Source organism: Homo sapiens, chromosome 1 (genome assembly GCF_000001405.40).
Source record: "Homo sapiens chromosome 1, GRCh38.p14 Primary Assembly".
Classification (NCBI taxonomy): Eukaryota; Metazoa; Chordata; class Mammalia; order Primates; family Hominidae; genus Homo; species Homo sapiens.
Genome location: NC_000001.11, coordinates 47,057,891 through 47,082,204, shown reverse-complemented (window position 1 = coordinate 47,082,204; position 24,314 = coordinate 47,057,891). Strand labels below are relative to the sequence as shown.

Below are 24,314 nucleotides of genomic sequence, written 5' to 3'. Positions count from 1 at the left end.
GAATGAGCAGGAGTAGACCTAATCCTTTGGGAATTAAGTCCAAATCAGAAAATTTGTTTATACAATGAACTCAAAAAAAGGTCCATCCTATCCTATTTGATGGTCAGATTCATCAGCCTCTTGATAAGAGTTCAAATTTAGGGTGGGTGAGAATTGCCCGAGGTGCTTGCTAGAGGCAGATTCCTTGGCTTAATCCTTCAGAGCCAATAATTCCTAGGTGTTGAAGTAGAATCAAGGACTTTTGAGTTATGACAAGGGTCCCAGCTAGTTCAGGTCCACACTTTGAGAAATACTGCCTTAGACTGGCACAAAGTTCCAGACTGAAGCAGAGGTGCTGCTTTCTTTCCATCACTTTTGTGCTTCTCTTCAGGCTGAGGATCAATGATGGAGGACTAAAGGGGCTTTTCTTTATCATTCCTGCTGGTAAGTGGGTTTGAGGTCTCCACTGAGTTCATAAAAGACTTAGTTTATGAGAGTGGATTCTTTCAAAGGGATCCTCAAGAGCAAGATTTTCCAGGGGCAATTAGATTGTGGAAAACTGATAATGAAATTTGTGGTGAATAATATTTTAAATTCTCTGTATGGTGGGAAATCTAAGGAGAGGGAGAGAAGGTGCCCATGCACGTTTGATCCAGGGATCTGGGGCTACTACCCAGATCCTGAATCTTCTGGTGTGAACTTGCTTAGCTGCACAGGCAGGTTGCCCAGAAAAGGGAGGGGAAGTGTGGAGGGAAAAGGAGAGAGAATGATCTTAAGCAACTTTCACAATGGCAACCTCTTCCAGGGCACCATTCTCAGTAAGGTCCATGTTAGCAGGCTGAGGGACTCTCCTTCTCTTTCCATGATCCTCAAGTGGGGACTACCTGGGATAGTGACATCAGTTGGTGTGAGGAGGAGAGCATACAACCCCCCGGGCCCCTTCTTATTCCTCCACCCCTACCCCTAGTTACACCAGAAATAAAGGACCAGTCCCAAACAGGTAGAATAAGAGGAGAAGCTATGAAAGACAAGGCAAGATTGAGCTCAGGTTTCTGAAGCAAAAGCGAGTGTAGGTTGTGGTAAGGTGAGGGAGACAGGAGCATTTCGTGTCTATCAGGAAAGTAATTTCTCCCCCGACCTCCACCTCCACCAGGCTCAGATGAGAAAGGATCAGACACACATACTGATATGGTTTGGCTCTGTGCCTCCACCTGAATCTTATGTCAAATTGTAATCCTCAGTGTTGGAGGAGAGGCCTGGTGGAAGGTGACTGAGTCATGGGGGTGGATTTTCCCCTTACTGTTCTTGTGATAGAATTCTCCCTAGATCTGCTTGTTTAAAAATGTGTAACACTCCACCCCTACTCCTGGTGGCCACGTGAAGGTGTGCCTGCTTTTCCTTTTCCTTCCACCACAACTGTAAGTTTCCTGCAGCCTCCCAAGAAGCAGAACCCTGTACAGCCAATAGAACCATGAGTTGGTTAAACCTCTTTTCATTATAAGTTACCCAGTCTCAGGTATGTCTTTATAGCAGAATGAGAATGGACTAATACACATACCAACCCAGGATTCAAGGATTTTGTGGCTAACAGCACTTTTGGGATCTGTAAAACAGAACAAAGGAGGCAAAAGATGGCATTAAGTGAAAATCACGAGTTAAAATGAGAGGAAATTTTTGTATGTTTCCATATTCCTTGTGGGTAACACAAATAGCTAGTGTGCAAGGTGGTTGGAGGCTAGTTCTTCAGTACCGAGAGTCCCAGGGAAGCCACAGAATTAGAATGAGAACTTGTTTATTCTTTCTCCACAGCACTTGGTGCTACGAGGTCAATAGCAGTGGAAAACAGAGCATAATTTCCTTTGTATAATTTTCAGAGTATAATTTTCTTTCAACATAAGTTGAAAAAATACATTTGTTTTTGTTGGGGAACTCTGACAACATTTTAAAGCTCCAGTTCCTTTTCACATAGACATGTACAGCTAGACACAGGAACATGACTTTGAGATAAATTGTAGATTTTACCCTTGTTGGATTTGTTTGAGAAAGATGTATATAAATGAATCAGAAGAAAAGATAAGGGACATAACCTTGGTTTTACAGTTTTGGGAAAACAAGAATTAATGTCCTTTATTCATTCCATCAACATCTTTATGTGGGATAAAGACAGGGAAATAAAAATGGGGGAGAAAACATATGAACATCTAGGAAAAGAGAGGATTGTTAACATGAGATTCACTTTCTGCAAAAGTCCAGGTGAAATGAACCTATAAAATACCTTGAGTTCTAAGGGTAAGAAGATATCTTATGGCATTCACTCTCTCAGTCCCTAGTGTATTCTCTCTCTCTCTCTCTCTCTCCCTCTGTCCATAGACTTCAATATAAAACCACTGCCCTCTAGACATTTCCCTTTGTGTACCACACAGACACCTCAGGACCCCAGCAAATCCAAACCTGATCTATCCCTTCACTACCAGATAGCCTCCTCTTCCTCTATCCACTTAAAGGCACAAGTGTATTCCCTATTTTCCCTACCAAAAGTTGGGACCCCTTCTTAACTAATTCCACTTTCTCATCCTCCTAATCTACTTGTTGGAAGATAATTCTGGCATTTCTTCAGAAATGGGTAAAAGAGATTGATAGAATTGTTAAGGATGTTTCCAAAACTATTTTGGAAAGAATGTATGTATGTCTACATTTAAGGCTAATAAGTGTGAGCCTTTCTACTCTAGACATTCCAGGGTCCTAAAAAATAATGTCTAAGAGTGACATCAGGAAAAATGGTGGATTAGGAACTGTCCAGGGCCATCCCTTCCCAAAGCAAAAACAAAAATTATCTGGCAAAAACTGTTATAGTCAACTTTAGCAGATTTCTGGAAGACAGTTAATTGTTTACAGCAACCAGGTGCACACTTAATCAGAAAAAAGACCACTGAAAAAGGATAGAAAAGATTGGTGGCATTGCAATTTAGCCTTGCCCCACATCCCTCTCCAGTACCATGGCAATCTTGAAGATGGCAGCCTGCATTCTCAGTGGGTTCTGTTTCCTGGATCCTAGAGAAAGCAGAATGGTCCTTGTTCTCAAGGAATTTTGTTTGTTTTGACTTCTGTGTGGGTTTTCTGAAGGACAAGGGCTTTCCTATGTTTTACCTAACTCAGAATTCTCTCAGGGCAGGGAAGTGTTCCTCAAAAACATTGAGAGGCAAAAGAACTAGCACTGATTCCTGGGACAAAAAAGAACAATTGAGGCAATAATAAACACACCAAAAACTAGAAGGAAAAGCTGGGAATGAGAATTTTGTTTTGGAATCAATGCTTTAAAAAGTTCTCACATATAACAGGGAACCTACACATACCCAGGGTAGGATGCATGGTTGGAAAAGACCTGATAAGACCACAGGCTTTCAACTTTGACTAGTCCTTACACAAAGTGCAAGAAGAAAGAGAAAGCTAAGGCAAACTTGTAAATGCCCCAATTAAATATTAGAGGTGTGCCCCAACCCAGAACCAACCAGGAAAGACCTGGAGAGTATTTTTATTTTCTTTCCTACCTTTTTTTCTTTTATTCCTTTTTTTCTTACATAACATTTAAAATGTTCAGTTTTAAACAAAAAAATTACAAATCATGTAAAAGAAACAAGGAAGTATGGCCTATGCACAGGAAAAAGAAATGAAAAGAAAATGTTATTGAGGAAGCATAGACGTTGGACTTACTAGACAACTTTAAATCAACTGTCTTCAATATGCTCAAAGACCTACAATAAACCATGGCCAAAGATGAAACAAAACCAAAATACTCATGTATGAACAAATAGAGAATATTAACAAAGACATATAAGTTGTAAACAGAAACAAATAAAGTTCTAGAACTGGAGTATACAGTAACTGAAATAAAAAGTTCATAAGGTTTCAACAGTTGATTTGAGCAGGCAGAGAAAAAATTATCAAAGTTGGAGATAGGTCAATTGAGATTGTTGAATCTGAGGGGCAGAAATAGAAAACAGAATGAAAAAGTAAATGGTCCTAAGAGACCTGTGAGACACCATCAAGCATACTAACATATGCATAATTGGAGTCCCAGAAGAGCAAAGAGGGAAAACTAAGTTGAAGAAATAATGGTTGAAAATTTCCAATAGCTTTAAGATATTAATTTTAATCTCACGTTAATCACTATGAAAATAACTGAAAATATACAGAAAAGGAAATGAGAAGAGTAACATAAAAATGTTACCATACCAAAAACCAAAAATCAATTAAACACCAAAGTAGGCAGTAATGGAGGAAGTGAGGAACATAAAATATATATGACAGGCTGAGCACAGTGGGTCACACCTGTAGTCTCAGCATTTTGGGAGACTGAGGGGGAAGCACTGTTTGAAGCCAGCAGTTTGAGACCAGCCTGGACAACATAGTGAGACCCTTGTCTATACAAAAGAAAAAATTAGCCAGGCATAGTGGTGCAGGCCTGTAGTTCCAACTGCTCAGGAGGCTGAAGTGGGAGGATTACTTGGGCCCAGGAGCTAGAGGATGCAGTGAGCTATGATGACACCACTGCACCCTACCCTAGGTGACAGAGCAAGACCCTGTCTCTAAAAAAAAAAAATAAGACATATAAAAAACAAACAGTGAAATGTTAGAAATAAGTCCTTCCTTATCAGTAATTATTTTAAATGTAAATGGATTAAACTTCAATTAAAAGGCAGAGACTGGCAGAATGGAGTAAAAAAATGGGACCCATTAATATGCTGCTTACAAGAGACTCACTTTAGATCTGAAGAAACAAAGAGGTTAAAAGTAAAAGGGTAGAAAAGGTATTCTATGCAAACAGTAAGGAAAAGAGAGCTGGGTGATTATCAGTTAACTATACCTTAAAATATTGTGACACAAAGAAAGACATTATATATTGTTAAGGGGTCAATCCATCAAGAAGATATAACAGTTATAATATATAAATATATACCTAACAATAGAACCCCACAGTATATGAGGCAAAAGCTGACAGCATTGAAGGGAGAAATAGACAGTTCTAAAATTATAATTGGAGAATTCACTACATCCCTTTCAATAATGGACAGAACAATGATACAAAAAATTAATAAGGAAATAGAGAACTTGAACAACACTATAATTATGCCAAACAGACATGTTCTAAAAGCTCCACCTAACAACAGCAGATTACATGTTCTTCTCAAGTACACATGGGTCATTCTTTAGCATAGATCATATGGTAAGTCACAAAAAAAGTCTCAATAAATTTAAAAAGATTGAAATCATACAAAAATACCTCTCCATAGAATAAAACTAGAAATCAATATCAGAAGTAAAACGGGAAAATTCACAAAACATGAATATTAAACAAGACATTCTTTTTTTTTTTTTTTTTTGAGACAGCGTCTGGCTCTGTCGCCCAGGCTGGAGTGCAGGGGCGCGATCTCGGCTCACTGCAAGGTCCGCCTCCTGGGTTCACGCCATTCTCCTGCCTCAGCCTCTCAAGTAGCTGGGACTACAGGAGCCCGCCACCGCTCCCGGCTAATTTTTTGTATTTTTAGTAGAGACGGGGTTTCACTGTGTTAGCCAGGATGGTCTCGATCTCCTGACCTCATGATCCACCCGCCTCGGCCTCCCAAAGTGCTGGGATTACAGGCGTGAGCCACCATGCCCGGCCAACAAGACATTCTTAAACAACCAAAGGGACAAGGAATAAATCATAAAAGACATTAGAAAATATTTTGAGGCAAATGAAAATGAAAACAACTTACCCAATGTTATGGGATTCAGCAAAAGCAGTGCTTAATGAGATTTTTATAGCTTAAATGTCTTCATTAAAAAATAAATTCCTTAAATCAATAACCTAACTGTACACTTTAATGAACTGGAAAAAGAAGGGCAAATGAAACCCAAAGCTACTGAAGGAAGGAAATGATAAAGATTAGAGCTGAGGTAAATAAAATAAAAGCAGGAAAAACAATAGAAAAAAATTAACAAACAAAAAGTTATTTCTTTGAGAAGATTAACAAAATTGACAAAACTTTAATTAGATGAACTATGAAGAAAAGTGAGAAGAATCAAGTTACTACAATCAGAAGTGAAAGTGGGAACGTTACTATCAACTTATTATTACAGATAATAAAAGGATTATAAGAGGACACTATGGACTACTCCCTTGGACTCCATGGTGGTCTGTTAGTGGGAGATCCTTGTTGCTGTCCCTTCACCTCCTTCAGCCTTGCAGAACCTTACAGGTCCCTGTCATAGGTGAGTGCATCTCCATGTTGGCTAGGCTGATGTCCAGATTGGCAGTTCCTGCTAGGATCTCTACTGCCTGGAACATGGCCTCTAGCCTGATGGCAAGGCCAAGAGACAAGACTAGTGTGGGAGGAAATAACTCCTTCAATACCTTCTTCAGTGAGACAGGTGCTGCCAACCATGTGACTAGGTCAGTGTTTGTAGATGTTGAACCCAGGGTCATTGACAAAGTTCACACTGGCACCTACTTCCAGCTCTTCCACCCTGGGCAGCTCATCACAAGCAAGGAAGATGCTGCCTATAACTATACTTGAGGGCACTTTTGCATAGGAAAGGGGATTATATTGACCTCATCTTGGACTGAATTTGCAAGCTGGTTGACTAGTGCACAGGTCTTCAGAACTTCTTGGTTTTTTACTGCTTTGGTGAGGGGACTTGTTCTGGGTTCACTTCTCTGCTGGTGGAATGTTCTTTCTGTTGATTATGGCAAGAAGTCCAAGTTGGAGTTCTCCGCATACCCAACCCCCCATATTTCCACAGCTATAGTTGTATAGCTCTATCTTCATCTCCCATACCACCCTGTAGCACTCTGATTGTGCCTTCATGGTAGACAATGAGGCCATCTATGACATCTGTGGAGAAACCTCAATATTGAATGCCCAACCTATACTAGCCTTAACTGCCTTATTAGCCAGATTGTGTCCTCCATCATTGCTTCCCTCAGATTTGATGGAGCCCTGAAAGTTAATCTGACAGAAGTCTAGACCAAAATGGTGCCCTGTCTCTGCATCCACTTCCCTCTGGCCACATATTCCCCCACCATCTCTGCTGAGAAAGCCTATCACGAACAGCTTGTTGTAGCAGAGATCACCAGTGCTTGCTTTTAGCCAGCCAACCAGATAGTGAAATGTGACTCTTGCCATGGTAAATACATGGCTTGCTGCCTGTTGTACCATGGGGACATGGTCCCCAAAGATGTCAATGCTGCCATCACCACCATCAAGATCAAGCCTACCATCCAGTTTGTGGATTGGCATCCCATTGGCTTTAAGGTTGGTATTAATTACCAGCCCCCCAGTGAGGTACCTGGTGGAGACCTGGTCAAGGTATAGAGACCTGTGTGCATGCTGAGCAACACCACAGCAGTTGCTGAGGCCTGGGCTTGCCTGGACCACAAGTTTGACCTGATGTATGATAAGCCTGCCAAAGCTGGAGAACTCATACACCTTGATTTCAAACTTACTGCAAAGCTATAGTCACCAAAACAATGTGGTACTGCCATTAAGTGTAGATATCAGAGTCCAAAAATAAACCCATACATCTGTTGTCAATTCATTTTCAACAAGGATGCAAATACCATTCAATGGGGAGAATGGTCTCTTCAAGAAATGGTGCTGGGAAAACTAAATACCTGTGGGCACAATAATTAAGTGTACCTTTATCTCACTCTATATACAAAAATTAACTAAAAATGTACCAAAGGGGGAAAAAAACAATGAAATCACATCATTGCAGCAACATGGATGCAGGTGCAGGACATTATCCTAAGTGAATTAATGTAGGAACAGAAAACCAGATACTTCATGATCTCACTTTTAAGTAGGAGTTAAACATTCAGTACTCATGGACATAAAGATGGCAACAATAGACACTCTGGACTACTGGGGTGGGGGAGGAAGGAAAGGGGGCAAGGATTGAAAAACTAATTGTTGGGTACTGTGCTCAGCACCTGGGTGATGGCATCATTTATACCCCAAACTTCACAGTATCATGCAGTATACCCAGGTAAGAAGCCTGCACATGTACCTCTTAATCTAAAATAAAAGATAAATAAATAAATAAACAAATGCCCCTACTTTAGGCTTCTTTCACCCAAAAAAAGGACTAAAGACCTATGTATAAGAGTCAAAACTATAAAACTCTTAGAAGAAAAAATAGGGGAGGGTCTTCATGAATTTGGACTGGGCAATGGTTTCTTAAAAATGATAGTAAAAGCACAGGCCACAAAAGGAAAAATAAATAAGTTAGATTTCATAAAAATGAAAAGCTTTTGTGTATCAAGGGCCACTAAAAGGGTTAAAAGACAAACCACAAAATAATAGAAAATGTTTGCAAATCATATATCTGATAAAAAAACTTGTGTACTATATATATTTAAAAACTATTACAACTGAACAATAAAAAGACAGCCCAATTAATCACGGGCAAAGGACTTGAATAGACATCTCCAAAGATAAACAATGGGCCAGCAAACAAATAAGATGATATTCAGCATCAATGGGCAAACAATAAGATGATATTCAGTCATTAGGGAAATGCAAATTAAAATAAAATTGGTCTTGGCCTGGTGCGTTGGCTCATGCCTGTAATCTCAGCACTTTGGGAGGCTGAGGCGGGTGGATTACTTGTCAGTAGTTTGAGACCAGCCTGGCCAACATGGTGAAACCCCATCTCTACTAAAAATACAAAATTAGTCAGGTTTGGTAGTGCACGCCTGTAGTCCCAGCTACCTGGGAGACTGAGGCAGGAGAATCACTTGAACCCAGGAGGCACAGGTTGCTTTTAGTGGCCCTTGACACACAAAAGCTTTTCATTTTTATGAAATCAGCATTATGCATAATGGCCAAAAGTTGAAACAATTCAAAGGTCTATTAACAGATGAATGCATAAACAAAATGTGGTATATTCATACAGTAGAATATAATTCATGAAAAGAAACAATGCTACAAAATGTATGAATCTTGAAAACATTATGCTAAGTGAAAAAAGCAAAATGCAAAGGGTCACATATTGTGTGATTCCATTTATATGAAAAATCCAGAATAAGTAAATTCATAGAGACAAAAATGCAGATTAGTAGTTGCCAGTGACTGGGGCAAGGGAGGAATGGGGAATAACTGCTTAAAATTGGTATGAGGTTTCTGTCTGGACTGATGAAAAATTCTGGAACTAGACAGAGATGATAGGTGGATAGCACTGTGAATATACTTAGTGTCCCTGAATTGGATCTTTAAAACGGTTAAATGGCAAACCTTATGTGTATTTTGCCACACACACATAAAAGACAATGCCTATTTCTAGGGGTGAGGAAGAGCATTTTTGGCAATAGCCCCTATATATGGTCAGGATCTTGTAGTGTCTGAATTCCTCAAATGTAACACAGACCCTGGTGTGCACAGTACTAACCTGAGTTCCTCTCCATTGCCCCTATAGGACTTAGGGAGATAGTGGGGCCGATGTTAATGTGAAGCTCATGATACCTATTATGCCATGAGTAATAAACAGTCTAAATCCATTCAGGCCCACTGGCTTTTTGCTGACTGAATTTATGAATGTGCAGTGAACCAGCTAAGTAGCTTAGGGACTGCTTGACAGCTTGATACCCCCATGTCAAAAATATTGGTACATTCATTAGTATCTCTTGAATTCATACAATTATTTCCACCTCCACCCCTCTACCTTTGTCCAGGCCTCCATCATCTGTCCTTTGGACAGTGCAGCAGGATAAGGTGGATTCCTGGTCTCCAGCCTTGATTCCCTCCAGCCATTCATCATACAGCTGTCTGAGTGATGTTTCAAAACACACAGATATTCACAGTACTTCTCTCCTTTGATGCTCACCATTACTCAGCCTACAAAGTTCTGAATGACTGGGCCCATGTCTACCAGCCTCTTCTCTTGCTTTGTCTCCTTCTCCATATCTGGGACAATTTGGCCATCAAAAAAGATGATGATAATGAAATTCAATACACTGATTTCTTAACAATCCATGAATCCTTACTGGTATGCAGAAAGAGAAACAGAGGGACAGAAAGTGAGACAGTGAGAGAAAGGCAGATGGGGGTGGGGAGAGGAGGAAAGTTCCTCATTATAGATAGGGAAAGCTGAAAAATGGAGAAGAAATAGAAAATCCCTATTTTTTTAACCTCTATTAACTCAGATAAAACTTATGCATAAAAAGTTGTTTGGCTCTGGCTATCTATCTATCTATCTATCTATCATCCATCCATCTATGAGCAAATGCAGACTTTATACCATATAAAAAATTAACACTAAATGAATCAAAGAACTGAATGTGAGAGCTACAACTTAAAACTCTTAGAAGAAAACATAAGGAAAACTTCATGACATAGGAGTTGGCAATAATTTTTTGGATATGATGCCAAAAGCACAGGCAGTGAAAGAAAAAATAGATAAACTGGACTTGATAAAATAAAAAACTTTTGCTCACCAAAGAACACTATCAACAGAGTAAAAAAGACACCAACAGAATGGGAGAAGATATTTACAAATCATATATCTGATAAGGATTAATATCCAGAAGATATAAAGAACTACTGCAACTCAACAACAAAAGAAACCAAAGAACCAATTGAAAAAGGTGCAGCAAACTTGAATAGACATTTCCCCGAAGTTGATATATAAGTGGCCAGTAAGCATATGAAAAGATGTTCAACATAATTAATCATTAGAGAAATGCAAATAAAAACCACCATAAGATACCATTTCACATCCATTAGGATAGCTATTATTAGTATTAGTTTAAATAATACAACATATTTTTTATTATTTTTTTTTCTTGAGACGAAGTCTTGCTCTGTCACCCAGGCTGGAGTGCAGTGGTACTATCTCAGCTCATTGCAACCTCTGCCTCTCAGGTTCAAGCAATTCTCCTCCCTCAGCCTCCCAAGTAGTTGGGACTACAGGCATGTGTCACCACGCCTGGCTAATTTTTGTATTTTTTTTAGTAGAGACGGGGTTTCACCATGTTGGCCAGGCTGGTCTTGAATTCCTGACCTCAAGTAATCTGCCTGACTTGGCCTCCCAAAGTACTAGGATTATAGGCTTGAGCCACTGCATCTGGTCTATTTTTTTTTAAATAGAGATGGGATTTTTTCATGTTGCTCAGGTCTTAAACTCCAGGGCTCAAGTGATCTGCCTGCCTTGGCCTCCCAAAGTGCTGGGATTACAGGTGTGAGCCATTGTAGCTATTATTATTATTTTTTAAATCCCCAGAAAATAACAAATGTTGGTGAGAACGTGAAGAAATTGGAACCCTTGTGCATTGCTGGTGGGTATGTGAAATGGTGCAGCCACTGTGGAAAATGCTATCACAGTTCTTCAAAAAATTATATATAGAATTATCATGTGACTCAGTAATTCCACTTTTTGGTATCAACTTGAAATAATTGAAAGGACCCAAACAGATATTTGTACATGCATGTTCATGACAGCATTATTCACAAAAGCCAACTGATAGAAGTTATCCAAGTGTCCATTGTCAGAGGAATGGATAAACAAAATGTGGTACATACATACAATGGAAATTCAGCCTTAAAAAGAAAGGACGTTTTGATATATACTACAACATGGATGAACCTTGAGGACATTATGCTACATGAAATAAGCCAGTTACAAAAGGACAATATTGTATGGTTCTACTTATGGAGGTACCTAGAATAGGGAAATTTAAAAAGACAGAAAGTAGAATGGTTGTTGCCTGAGGCTGGGGGGAGGGGAAAATGGGGAGTTAGAGTTTAATGTGTACAGAGTTCCAGTTTGGGAAGATGAAAAAGTTCTGAAGATGGATGGCGGTGATAGTTGCACAACAATGTAAATGTATTTAATGCCATTAAATTGTATACTTAAAAGTGATTTAAAATGGTAAATTTTTAGTTTATGTATATTTTACCACAATAAAATGAATGTAATTAAAAGAAAAGCACATATGGGAATATGATATCAATTAATGACACTAGAGAAGGGTACAATGGGTGTTCAAAATTTCTCTTGTAGGGTTGAAAATTTTCAAAATAAAAAGCTGGGGATAAGATGATTTGGGTGGGTCTGGCCAGAAATAATAAGAGCAGGATTCTCAGCTCTCCTTTTTTGGCCACCGTGCTTCTGCAGTGGGACTCAAAAAGAAGTACTAATGTGTGGCAGATAAATAACTTAACATCCCATACTCTGTATATTATTCTGCTCTTTTCTCATGTAACTGTACAGTTATCACACTTCAAGGCATAAAATTATCCTTTTCTCTGAGGAGGAGACAATTTTAGGCACCAGCAGGGAATACAAACCAAAGGAAAAGAAAACAAAACAGTAAGAGAAAAAAAGCAAGAGAGGGAGAGAAATTCTTGGCTTCTCTGGGAAGGAGCTAAGGTTGTGAGTTGAAGACAATGGGGACTGAAGAAAATATGAACAGGAAGGATGGCTTTCCCTGTATGGCCTGCCCAGATGCCCTTACAACCAACCACAAAAAAAGAAAAACAGCCAGAAACTAAGCCTCCCTTCTCAAGGGAGTGAACACACTGAAGAGAGAATTTGTAGATAAAGAAGAGAAAATAACTCCAAAGGAGAAACAATCACTTTCCTCTTTCATCCCTTTTGGGCAAAGGTCCAAAGGTGAGAGCAGAGCATAAAGGGGAGCAGAGTAAAGTTTGAAACTGGATAGCCAGACATTTCTTGCACCATTACCAGGAAGAAAGCTGAGATGGTGATTCTGGCAGAGTGCCCTGTGAAATGAGAGAGCCACAGGCTGCTTGAAATTTTGCAGAAGCACCAAGAGTGGTATGGAGGCATTTTATAACTGAATGACTCATGTAGGTAGCTGGGAGAGTGAGGCGAAGGCCAGCCTTATATGCCAACAGGCAGTTGAGGAAAGCCCAGTGGGGGAATCCTACACACATCTTGCCACGGCCAAGAAGCAGCTCTGCAATTCCACGGAATTCCCACACTAGGGACCAGATGGAGAACTGGTGTCCACTTGCCAGAGCCTCCAACCTGGCACTGGCCATTCCCAGAGGACAGGCAACATTAGTGGGCAAAGCATCTATGGGGAACACTCATCTCTGTGCAGCACTGGCGTTAAGCCAATTGTAAGCAAACCACCACTGCATGCCCAACCCACTGTATGTTCACAGTGATGGTAAGTGGTAGTCCTGGGGGTCTGAGGTAAGTAAATGTGATGGAAGCATCAGAAAAAATTTGCCATGTAGGGAGAGAAGATTGCTTGAAAATGGATCAGAGAATCCTCTACAACAGCCCTCAATAGAGTCCTGACTATGATGTTGAGGAGGACATGGAATCTTCCCTTCAACATATCAAATGATGGATTTCCCTTAAAAATGCTTCAACCTGTCCTTCCCTAGTGCCACAGACACCCTGAGACCCTCTTTGTTGCTGCTCTGTACTGTGAGCCCCTCTTGGTTTTTACCTTGTCTTTTCAGGAGAATCTTGGCATAGTCTGGGTCATGGACACTGAAGAACATCGTAAAGGGTCCAACCCACAAGGGAACAGCACATGGGTATTTTTCCATCAGCTTATGATACACCTCAAACTCCTTTACTGGGTAAAACTGTCATAAGATAAGTCATGACTGGTTAGTAAAGGTTGTCACCCCAGGAGGACCCCTTTCCCTCGGATGGACCATGTGCTAAGTTGAGGATCTGTGGACACCACCCCATCAGACAGGTTCACATCTGTTGAAGGCAAGTTTTCTTCTCCATGTGTCTCCAGCACCTCCACAGAATCTTCGTGGCCCTGGGCAAGTGCTCAGGACCTGTTGCTGAGCGATTGGTCTTCTCACTCCAGCGTCAACTTTGGAGATTTAAGTTCAAATCCCAATCTGACACTTATTCATTATCTAGGTCATCAGGGCCATGATTTCCTCACGTGTATAATAGGAAGACCAAATATATTTTACAAAGCTGCCATGAAAATTAAGTGAAATTATAAACATAAAATTCCTGGCACAAGGTAAACCGTTAGTAACCACTGATGCCCTACCTCATCTTTGCTCTGGATATACCCACTCATGCTTTATCTGCCTCCAAAGCAGCGAAGTCTCACATGCCTTTTACTCCTTTTGGTTGCTGCTCATCTTTCAACTTTCCTTTCTAATTTGCTAAATGTTTTCCTATTTCCAGCTTCATTAGAAGCTGTAGCATCTTGGTATAGTTCCTGTTAACAATTGGCTTGGTCTATTTCTCTCTAGAACACCCAGAGTCCTGAGAATAGTAAAGACCTTGGCCTTGAATCAGAAGACCAGGGTTCAAGTTTCATTTCTGTCATTTATGAGGTGGGTAGCACAGGAAAGTTGCATTTCTATTTTAGGCTTCAGTTTTCTTATCTGTAAAACAGGAATAACAATATCTTTCCTCCCCATATCATAGAATTTTTGTAAAAATCACAATGAGATTGGTGTGAAAGCATTTTGCATATTACATAATGCCCCACCAGTCTGTGCTGTTTTTTTTTAATACCTCATCTTTCTGTCCCTTAACCTCCCCAACTAATTTTCTCCTCTTACCTCCTTGTGGCCATAGAACCAGTGGGCAGGGGGTGCAGGAAACAGGTGCAGGGCTCTGATCATCCATCTCCTCCTCTGGTACAACCTGATTACCTGAAACAGCAGCAGAGACATGCAGAGGAGGATCAGCAGCAAGAAGGGGTGAGCCATGAGTTCCTGAAGCCAGGAGGGCTCCATTCTTCTCAGAGGTCCTGAGCTCTGGAGAGCCTGAGAGAACTGAGCCAGGGAGAATGCAGGTCTCTCATAAACACAAAGGAGATGCCCCCTGGGCAACACTGGGCTTTCAAAATGCCATATTCAGGGAGGGGACATAAGGAAGAGGAAGCCTAATTAAGTCTGCAGGGTGAAAACTGCTGAGATGTTGGCCAGCAGACCTGGATTCTAGAAGAACAAGATTTTCAGATAGGAGCCATGTGCATGACAGCTCACACCCATATGAAAGCTTTGCTGCACTGCTGTCCCCTTCCAGAATCTAAAAGTTCCCATCTAGTCATCCTTTGTCACACCTCTATACATTCTTGTAAAAAATCTCCCCCACTCTCATTCTCTGTTCTTTTTTGTTTATGTTTCTGATAGAATTTATCTTTCTAGAGAAGTTTCAAGTTCACAGAAAAATTAAGCAGAAAGTTCAGGGAGTTCCCATATATCACCCCTCCCTTCCAGCTTCCCTGATTATCAAAATCCTCCACCAGAGTATAACACTTGTTACATTTAATGAACCTACAATGACACATTATCGTCACCCAAAATCTTAGGTATATACCTAAGTTTTTTTTTTTTCTATTTTGAAAGGGGTTGAGTTCTTGATTTGATTCTCAGCTTGGTTGCTGCTGGTGTACAGCAGAGCTACTTATTTGTGTATATTAATTTTGCATCCTGTAGGAGCTTTTTGGATGAGTCTTTAGGCTTTTCTAGGTATACGATCATATCATCAGCAAACAGTGACAGTTTGACCTCCTTTTTACCAATTTGAATGCCCTTTATTTCTTCCTTTTGTCTGATTGCTCTGGCTAGGACTTCCAGTACTATGTTGAATAGAAGTGGTGAAAGTGGGCATCCTTCTCTTGTTCCAGTTCTCAAGGAGAATGCTTTCTACTTTTCCCCTTTCAGTATAATGTTGGCTGTGGGTTTATTGTTATGTGGCTTTTATTACCTTAAGGTGTGCCAGTTTTGTTGATGAGAGTTTTAATCATAAAGGGATGCTGGATTTTGTTAAATGCTTTTTCTGCAGCTATTGAGATGATCATGTGGTTTTGTTTTTAATTCTGTTTATGTGGTGTATCACATTTATTGACTTGGGTATGTTAAATCATCCCTGCATCCCACTTGATTATGGTGGATTATCTTTTTGATATGCTGTTGGATTCAGTTCACTAGTATTTGATTGAGGATTTTTGCATCTATGTTCATCAAAGATGTTGGTCTGTAGTTTTCTTTTTTTGTTATGTCATTCCCTGGTTTCGGTATTAGGATGATACTGGCTTCACAGAGTGATTTAGGGAGGATGCTCTCTTTCTCTATCTTGTGGAATAGTGTCTATAGAATTGGTACCACTTCTTCTTTGAATGTGTGATAGAATTCAACTGTAAATCCATCTGGTCCTGGACTTTTTTTTTGTTGGTATTAAAAAAAATTACAATTTCAATCTCACTGCTTGTTATTGGTCTGTTCGGCGATTCTATATCTTCCTGGTTTAACCTAGGAGGGTGGTATATTTTCAGGAATTTATCCATCTCCTCTAGGTTTTCTAGTTTATGCATATAAAGGCATTCATGGAAGTCTTGAATAATCTTTTGTATTTCTCTGGTATCAGTTTGTAATAGCTCCTGTTTCATTTCTAATTGAGTTTATTTGGATCTTCTCTCTTGTTTACTTCGTTAATCTCACTAATGGTTCATCAATTTTATTTATCTCTTCAAAGAACCAGGTTTTTCATTTCATTTATTTTTTGTATTTTTTTTGTTTCAATTTCATTTAGTTCTGCCCTGATCTTTGTTATTTCTTTTCTTCTGCTGGGTTTGAGTTTTGATTGTTCTTTCTCCAGTTCTGTGAGGTGTGACCTTAGATTGTCTATTTTTGCTCTTTCAGACTTTTTGATATAGGCATTTGATGCTATAAACTTTCCTCCTAGCACTGCTTTTGCTGTATCTTAGGGTTTTTGATAGGTTGTGTCACTATTATTGTTCAGTTTAAAGAATTTTTAAATTTCCATCTTGATTTCATTGTTGACCCCAAAATTATTCAGGAGTAGGTTATTTATTTTCCATGTATTTTCATGATTTTGAGGGTTCCTTTTGGAGTTGACTTCCAATTTTTTTTCCATTGTGGTTTGAGAGAGTACTTGATATAATTTTGATTTTCTTAAATTTACTGAGACTTGTTTTGTGGCCTATCATATGGTTTATCTTGGAGAATGTTCTATGTACAGATGAATAGAATGTATATTCTGCAATTGTTGGGTAGAATGTTCGTTAATATCTGTTAAGTCCATTTGTTGTAGGGTATAGTTTAGGTCCATTGTTTCTGTGTTGATTTTCTGTCTTGATGACCGGTCTAGTGCTGTCCATGGAGTATTAAAGTCCCCCACTATTATTGTGTTGTTGTTTATCGCATAGTAATTGTTTTATAAATTTGGGCGTTTCAGTGTTAGGTGCATATATATTTAGAATTGCAGTATTTTTCTGTTGGACTAATCCTTTTATCATTATATAATGTCCCTTTTTGTCTTTTTAAACTGCTGTTGCTTTAAAGTTGTTATGTCTGGTATAAGAACAGCTACTCCTGCTCACTTTTGGTGTCCATTTGCATAGAATATCTTTTTCCACTTACCTTAAGTTCATGTCAGTCCTTATGTGTTAGGTGAGTCTCCTGAAGACAGCAGAAATTTGGTTGGTAATTTCTTATCCATTCTGCTGTTCTGTTTCTTTTAAGTAGAGCATTTGGGCCATTTACACTCAATATTAGTATTGATATGTGAGGTACTAGTCTACTCATCATGCTATTTGTTGCCTGAATAACCTTGTTTTTTTTTAATTGAGTTTTTGTTATGTAGATCCTGTGAGATTTATGCTTTAAGGAGGTTCTATTTTTGTGTATTTTGAGAATTTGTTTCAAGATTTAGAGCTTTGAGCAGTTCTTTTAGTGCTGGCTTGGTAGTAGTGAATTCTCTCAGCATTTGTTTGTCTGGAAAAGACTATCTTTCCTTCATTGATGAAGGTTAGTTTCACTGGATACAAAATTCTTGGCTGACCATTGTTTTGTTTAAGGAGGCTAAAAATAGGACCCTAGGCTGGGCACTGTGGCTCCGTCTGTAATCCCAGCACTTTGGGAAGCTGAGGTGGGTGGATCACGAGGTCAGGAGATCGAGACCATCCTGGCCAACATGGTGAAACCCCATCTCTACTAAAAATAGAAAAATTAGCCAGGCGTGTGGTGGTGTGCCCTGTAGTCCCAGCTACTCAGGAGGCTGAGGCAGGAGAATCACTTGAACCCAGGAGGCAGAGGTTGCAGTGAGCTGGGATCGCGCCACTGCACTCCAGTGTGGGCAACAGAGTGAGACTCTATCTCAAAAAAAAAAAAAAAAAAAAGGACCCAAATCCCTTCTAACTTGTAGGGTTTCTGCTGAGAAATCTGCTGTTAATCTGATAGGTTTTTCTTGACAGGTTACCTGACACTTTTGCCTCACAGTTCTTAAGATTCTTTCCTTCATCTTGACTTCAGATAACCTGATGGCTATGTGCCTAGGTGATGAACTTTTTGTGATGAATTTCCCAGGTGTTCTTTGAGCTTCTTTTATTGGGATGTCTAGATCTCCAGCAAGGCCAGGGAAGTTTTTCTTGATTATTCCCTCAAATATGTTTTCCAAATTTTAGATTTCTCTTTTTCCTTGGGAACACCAATTATTCTTAGTTTTGGACATATAACGTAGTCCCAAATTTTTGGAGGCTTTGTTTATTTTTAAAAATTATTTTGCTTTGTCTTTGATGGGTAGGGTTAATTTGAAAGACTTGTCTTTGAGCTGTTAAGGCCTTGCTTCTGCTTGTTTGATTTTATTGCTGAGACTTTCCAGTGTATTTTGCATTTCTGTAAGTGTGTGTTCAGTTTCCAGAAGTTGTGATTGTTTTTTATTTGTGCAATCTATTTCACTGAAGAATTTTCCTTTCATATCCTGTATCATGTTTTTGATTTCTTTAAGTTGGACTTCACCTTTCTCTGGTGCCTCCTTGATTAGCTTAATAATCAACCTTCTGAATACTTTTTCTGGCAATTCAGAGATTTTGTCTTAGTTTGGATCCATTGCTGGTAAGCTGATATGATCTCTTGGGGGTGTGAAAAAACCTTGTTTTGTCATATTACCAGAATTGTTTTTTTCTGGTTCCTTCTTATTTTGATAGACTATGTCAGAGGGAAGATCTGGGATTCAAGGGCTGCTGTTCAGATTATTTTGTCCCAAGGGGTGCTCCCTTGATGTGATGTTCTCCCCCTTCCCCTAGGAGTGGGGCTTCCTGAGAGCCAAACTGTAGTGATTATTTTTGCTCTTCTGGGTCTAGCCACCCAGCAGAGCTACGAGGCTCTAGGCTGCTACTGGGGAGTGTCTGTAAAGAGTCCTATGATGTGATCCATCTTCAGGTCTCTTAGCCATGGATACCAGTGCCTGCTCCAGTGGAGGTAGCAGAGGGGTGAGGTGGACTCTGTGAGGGTCCTTGGTTTTGTTTTTGTTAGTGCACTGGTTTTGTGTTGGTTGGCCTCCAGCCAGGAAATGGAACTTTCAAGAGTGCATCAGCTGTGGTCCTATAGGAAAGATGCAAACTTGCTGTAGAGACACCTGGTTATGTATTCAGGTTTCTCAGGTGGTGGGCAGGGCCATAGTGCTCCCAAGTGATTATGACCTTCGTCTTTGGCTACCAGGGTGGGTAGAGAAAGACCACAAGGTGGGGTCAGGGTAGGCATGTTTAAACTCAGCCTTTCCTTGGGCGGGGCTTGCTGCAGCTGTTGTGGGGGATGGGGGTGTAGTTCCCAGTCCAATGGAGCTATATTCCCAGGGGTATTATGGCTGTCTCTGATAAGTCATACAGGTCACCAGGGAAGTGGGGGAAAGCCGGTAGTCAGAGGGCTCACCCTGCTCCCACACAGCCTGGAGACCTAAAGGCCAGTCTCACTCCTACTGTGCCCTCCCCAGCTGCAATGAGTCTATTTCCAGGCAGCCAGTGACCAGGGCTGAGAACTTGCTCCAGACCACGAGCCTCCTCATTGAGAAAGGAAGCAGAATCACAGTTTTTGGCTTCTCAGGGAGCCTGCAGCAGTAATCCAGTTACTTCAAAGGTCTGTAGATTCTCTTAGCTTTCCCGGTATGTTCCTGCAGTGGTTCTTGGAGTAAAAGTTCATGATGTGAGTCTTCACACACTGTTCTGTCCAAGTGGGAGCTGCAAGCTAGTTCTGCCTGCTATCTGTCATCTTCAAACTATGTCTTCCTCTTGCCTGATTGCTTTGGCCAGGACTTCCAATACTATGTTGAATAGGAGTGGTGACAGAGGGCATCCTTGTCTTGTGCTGGTTTTCAAGGGGAATGCTTCCATCTTTTCCCCATTCATTATGATGCTAATATGGGTTTGTCATAGATGGCTCTTATTATTTTGAGGAATGTTCCTCAATACATAGTTTATTTAGAGTTTTTAACATGAAGTGATGTCCAATTTTATCAAAATCCTTTTCTGCATCTATTGAGATAATCAAGTGACTTTTATACTTAGTTCTCCTTATGTGATGATCCGCATTTATTGATTTGTGTATGTTGAACAAACCTTGCACCCTAGGGATGAAGCCTACTTGAGCATCATGGATTAGATTTTTGATGTGCTGCTGAAATTGGTTTGCAAGTATTTTGTTGAAGATTTTTGCATCAATGTTCATCAAGAATATTGGTCTGAAGTTTTCTTTTTTTGTTGTGTCTCTGCCAGGTTTTGGTACCAGGATGATGCTGGTCTTATAGAATGAGCTAGAGCAGAGTCCCTCCTTCTCAATTATTTGGAATAGTTTCAGTAGGAATGCTACCAGTTCTTCTTTGTACATCTGGTAGAATATGGCTATGAATTAATCTGGTTCTGGGCTTCTTTGGGATGGTAGACTATTTATTACTCATTCAATTTTGAAGCTCATTATCGGTCGGTTTAGGGATTTGATTTCTTCCTGGTTCAGTCTAGGGAAGGTGTATGTGTCCAGAAATTTATTCTGCTCTTCTAGATTTTCTAGTTTGTGTGCATAGAGGTGTTCATAGTAGTTTCTGATGGTTATTTTTATTTCTGTGGGGTCAGTGGTAGCATCCTCTTTGTTATTTCTAATTGTGTCTATTTGGATCTTCTCTCTTTTCTTCTTTATTAGTGTGGCTAATGCCCTATATATCTTATTATGTTTTTCAGAAAGCAAACATTGAATAGTTTTCTGTGTTTTGATTTCTTTCAGCTCAGCTCTGATTTTGGTTATTTCTTGTCTTCTGCTAGCTTTGGAGTTGATTTGCTCTTCCTTCCGTAATTCTTTCAGTTGTGGTATTAGATTGGTAATTTGAGATCTTTTTACCTTTTTGATGTGGGCATTTAATGCTATGAACTTCCCTCTTAACACTGTTAGTTCTGTCCCAGAGATTCTGGTATGTTCTACCTTTGTTCTTATTAGTTTCAAAGAACTTGATTTCTTCCTTAACTTCATTGTTTACTCAGAAGTCATTCAGGAGCCTGTTGTTTAATTTCTATGTAATTATATGGTTTTGAATGATTGCTTTAATCTTGACTTCTATTTTTATTGCACTGTGCTCTGACAGTGTGTTTGGTATGATTTTGGTTCTTTTGCATTTGCTGAGAATTGTTTTATGTTCTATTATGTGGCTGATTTAAAAGTATGTGTCATGTGGCAATGAGAAGAATATATATTCTGCTGTTTTGGGATAGAGAGTCCTGTAGAGGTCTATCAGATCTATTTAGTCCTGTTGAGTTCAGGTTCTGAATATTTTTGTGAATTTTCTGCCTTGATAATCTGTCTAATACTGACAGTGGAGGGTTGAAGTCTGCCACTATTATTGTGTGTGAGTCTAAGTCTCTTTGTAGTCTCTAAGAACTTGCTTTATGAATCCAGGTGCTCCTGTATTAGATGAATATATATTTAGGATAGCTAGGTCTTAAATAGAACCCTTTACCTTGATGTAATGCCCTTCTTTATCTTTTTTGATCTTTGTTAGTTTAAAGTCTGTTTTGTCTGAAATTAGGATTGCAGTCCCTGCTTTTATTTTAATGTCCATTTGCTCGGTAGATTTTCCTCCATCCCTTTATCTTGAACCTATGAGTCTCATTATGTTTGAGATGGGTGTTTTGAAGACAGCATACCATTGGGTCTTGCTCTTTTATCCAGCTTGCCACTCTGCCTTTTAAGTGGGACATTTAGCCCATTTACATTCAATAATCTATTAATTTTTTAAAAAGTATATGAAAAGTATTTTACAAGAAGTTTTGAGCAAACATTGGAAAGGGATCATAGAAATGAAGTGAATTTGTCTAACAAATATTTAAAAATGTAAATGAATTTCTGCTTATCAGATAAATAAATCTATTAAATGAATCCAAGACAAAACTAGGATATTTCCCAATACATGATGCAAGCATAACTTGGCCATACTTAATATTGGTTCATGAAATAAATTTTCAAGGAGAAAAGAGTGATTTCATATTTATGTTTGCAGAGTGCCCTGGACTTCACATAATGAGCAAGTAAAAGTCTTGGGGAGAGGAGAAAAGGGTGGGAGCAGAATTTTCTAAAACTCACAGTCAGGCTGAAGGTGCATGATCAGATAAATGCTTGCTTAAAACAAAGTGCCCCATAGGGGACCATCAGCCTCCGTCCCAGGGGATGCTTAGGAAACAGCCCAGCCTTCTTTGCTACCTAAATTAGGGAAATTAAATGTTCTTTCATCAGGTTCTTCTCATACACAGTATGAGAAAGCCTTTTGGGTTTTCCTACATGCAAGCAGGTGATGTTTAGACATGAAAATTGAGAAGTACAGCAGGTATGCCAAAACCAGACATGATATTTACGTAGCCAAATTCCAGGAGATTACATGGGCAGAGTCAGGAAATTATTGGCCAGCCTGTTGCAAATTATTGTTTTCACATGGGTCCAACTGGAAATGAATGGCTGATCTCCCATTTAGATTTTATAAAACTATCTTCCAAATTTGGATAGGCTCTAAGTGACTTCAGGATACAAAGAAAGTAACTTTGTGTTTCATTTTACCTTGATTATATATTCAACCACAGAACACAAAATGAAGTTTGTTTTTCATTTAATTATCTGGCTATTTGTATGGTAACCTTCTATAGCTGCAACTTATTTTGCTTTATGTAAAATGTTAACCTCAGGGTTTAGGCAAAAATGTCTCAGAATTAATTATGAAGGCATTGGGACATATAAAAATATTATGTAAGTATAAAATTGTTAATAAAATTTATTGGCCAAAATATGCTAGTATCTTTGATTACTTTGTTCTTATGAATCTCAGGCAATGTTTCAAAAATGTATACTTGCAAATTGTTCTATTTAAAGTTTAGATTAATTTGTAAATATTTCTCATGATTTAATTTATATTGTATTATATTAGCCTTTATCCTTCACTGGCTTTTATAAGTTGGGCAAATACATACTATTAAGATGTATATCTGTATTCAAATAAATAACTACAAAAATTAGAACACCACAGTGAATCTACTTGTCATGAAAGATAAATAATGATATTGCTACCAAAAAATAGTTAAATAATATTCATAGGCCCCTGTCTCTGCCTGTCCCTGCCAGGGTTGTGGAGGTAAAGAGTGCTAGTCTATTACTATAGAAAGGACTCTACATAGGTCTGAGTAGAGTAGGGACAAGAAAGAGCACTACATACTGGAACCACTTATGTGGTTCTGGTGCAGGGCAAAAATATTGGTAGTAGTCAGGAATATACATGTGTTTACAGGTGTGGTGTATGAAAGAGAGAAAGATAAGGAGAGAGAAGAAATGCGAGTCCACATTGCAGTGCTCTGGAAACAGAATGAGGATTGTGTTAGGGTCAAGGATTGCCCGTAGGTCCTCTGGGATGGCACTGAATAAGCAGTAAAAGCAGGAAAGCATGCCATGCAGGGGATACTTAGCACCTCAAATTTATAAAATACAATTCTAAGAACTAATTGAAAAACACTCACAAAGTGAGGTGGTGATCGAGGATGTCCTAAGTGCAACACTCAGCTTAGCCAGAGTGTAGGGGAACCAGAAAATGTTTCTGAGCCTGGAATCATACCAGCAAACTACCTCAGCCTGAAGGTCTTTATTGGAGCAAGGACACCATTTTAAAAGTGAAAAATTATAATTATAATAAAAATAATTATCTGCAAATTCACAAAATTTTATTCAACTGTGAAAACAACTTTGTAGTAGAAGCCAAAATATTTAGAGGAAATGAAATGCTTTGACCTAATTTATTTCATAGAGAGAAAATATGATGCCCTGATTCAGGAGATGAAAAGCTTTTGATGGCACAGATATGTGATCTCACACAGTAAGTTAATTTGATTCAGAACCAAGTAAAGTTTTTTTTGATAAATAGTTTTTTTAAAAAAGAATTTGCACAAGCAAAATGTAAAACCAAAGTTGCAGAAGTTCATGGTGATCAACCAGTAGTTGAACTGCCTCCTAAGATAAGAATTAACACTCTTCAGAAAACTAGAATCCAAAGTCTTTATATTATTCACCATGTCC

General features: G+C 39.2%; 1 protein-coding gene and 1 pseudogene across 2 annotated transcripts in view; one reads left to right on the top strand and one right to left on the bottom strand.

Annotated features, from left to right (window-relative positions):
- CYP4Z1 (cytochrome P450 family 4 subfamily Z member 1) overlaps positions 1-24,314 on the bottom strand; it is a 62,794-nt gene that overhangs the window by 36,114 nt on the left and 2,366 nt on the right. Inside the window, exons 2-4 of one of the 2 annotated variants that reach the window (XM_024453856.2) lie at positions 14,538-14,630; positions 13,442-13,583; positions 1,538-1,582 (exon numbers count right to left, since the gene is read on the bottom strand). In XM_024453856.2, coding sequence (XP_024309624.1) covers positions 1,538-1,582; positions 13,442-13,583; positions 14,538-14,600 — 250 coding nt within the window. In that variant the 5' untranslated portion in view covers positions 14,601-14,630. Of the gene's footprint in view, positions 1-1,537; positions 1,583-13,441; positions 13,584-14,537; positions 14,975-24,314 lie in introns of those variants that run through there. The other variant, NM_178134.3, reaches the window with a different exon arrangement.
- TUBAP9 (tubulin alpha pseudogene 9) lies at positions 6,226-7,427 on the top strand (annotated as a pseudogene).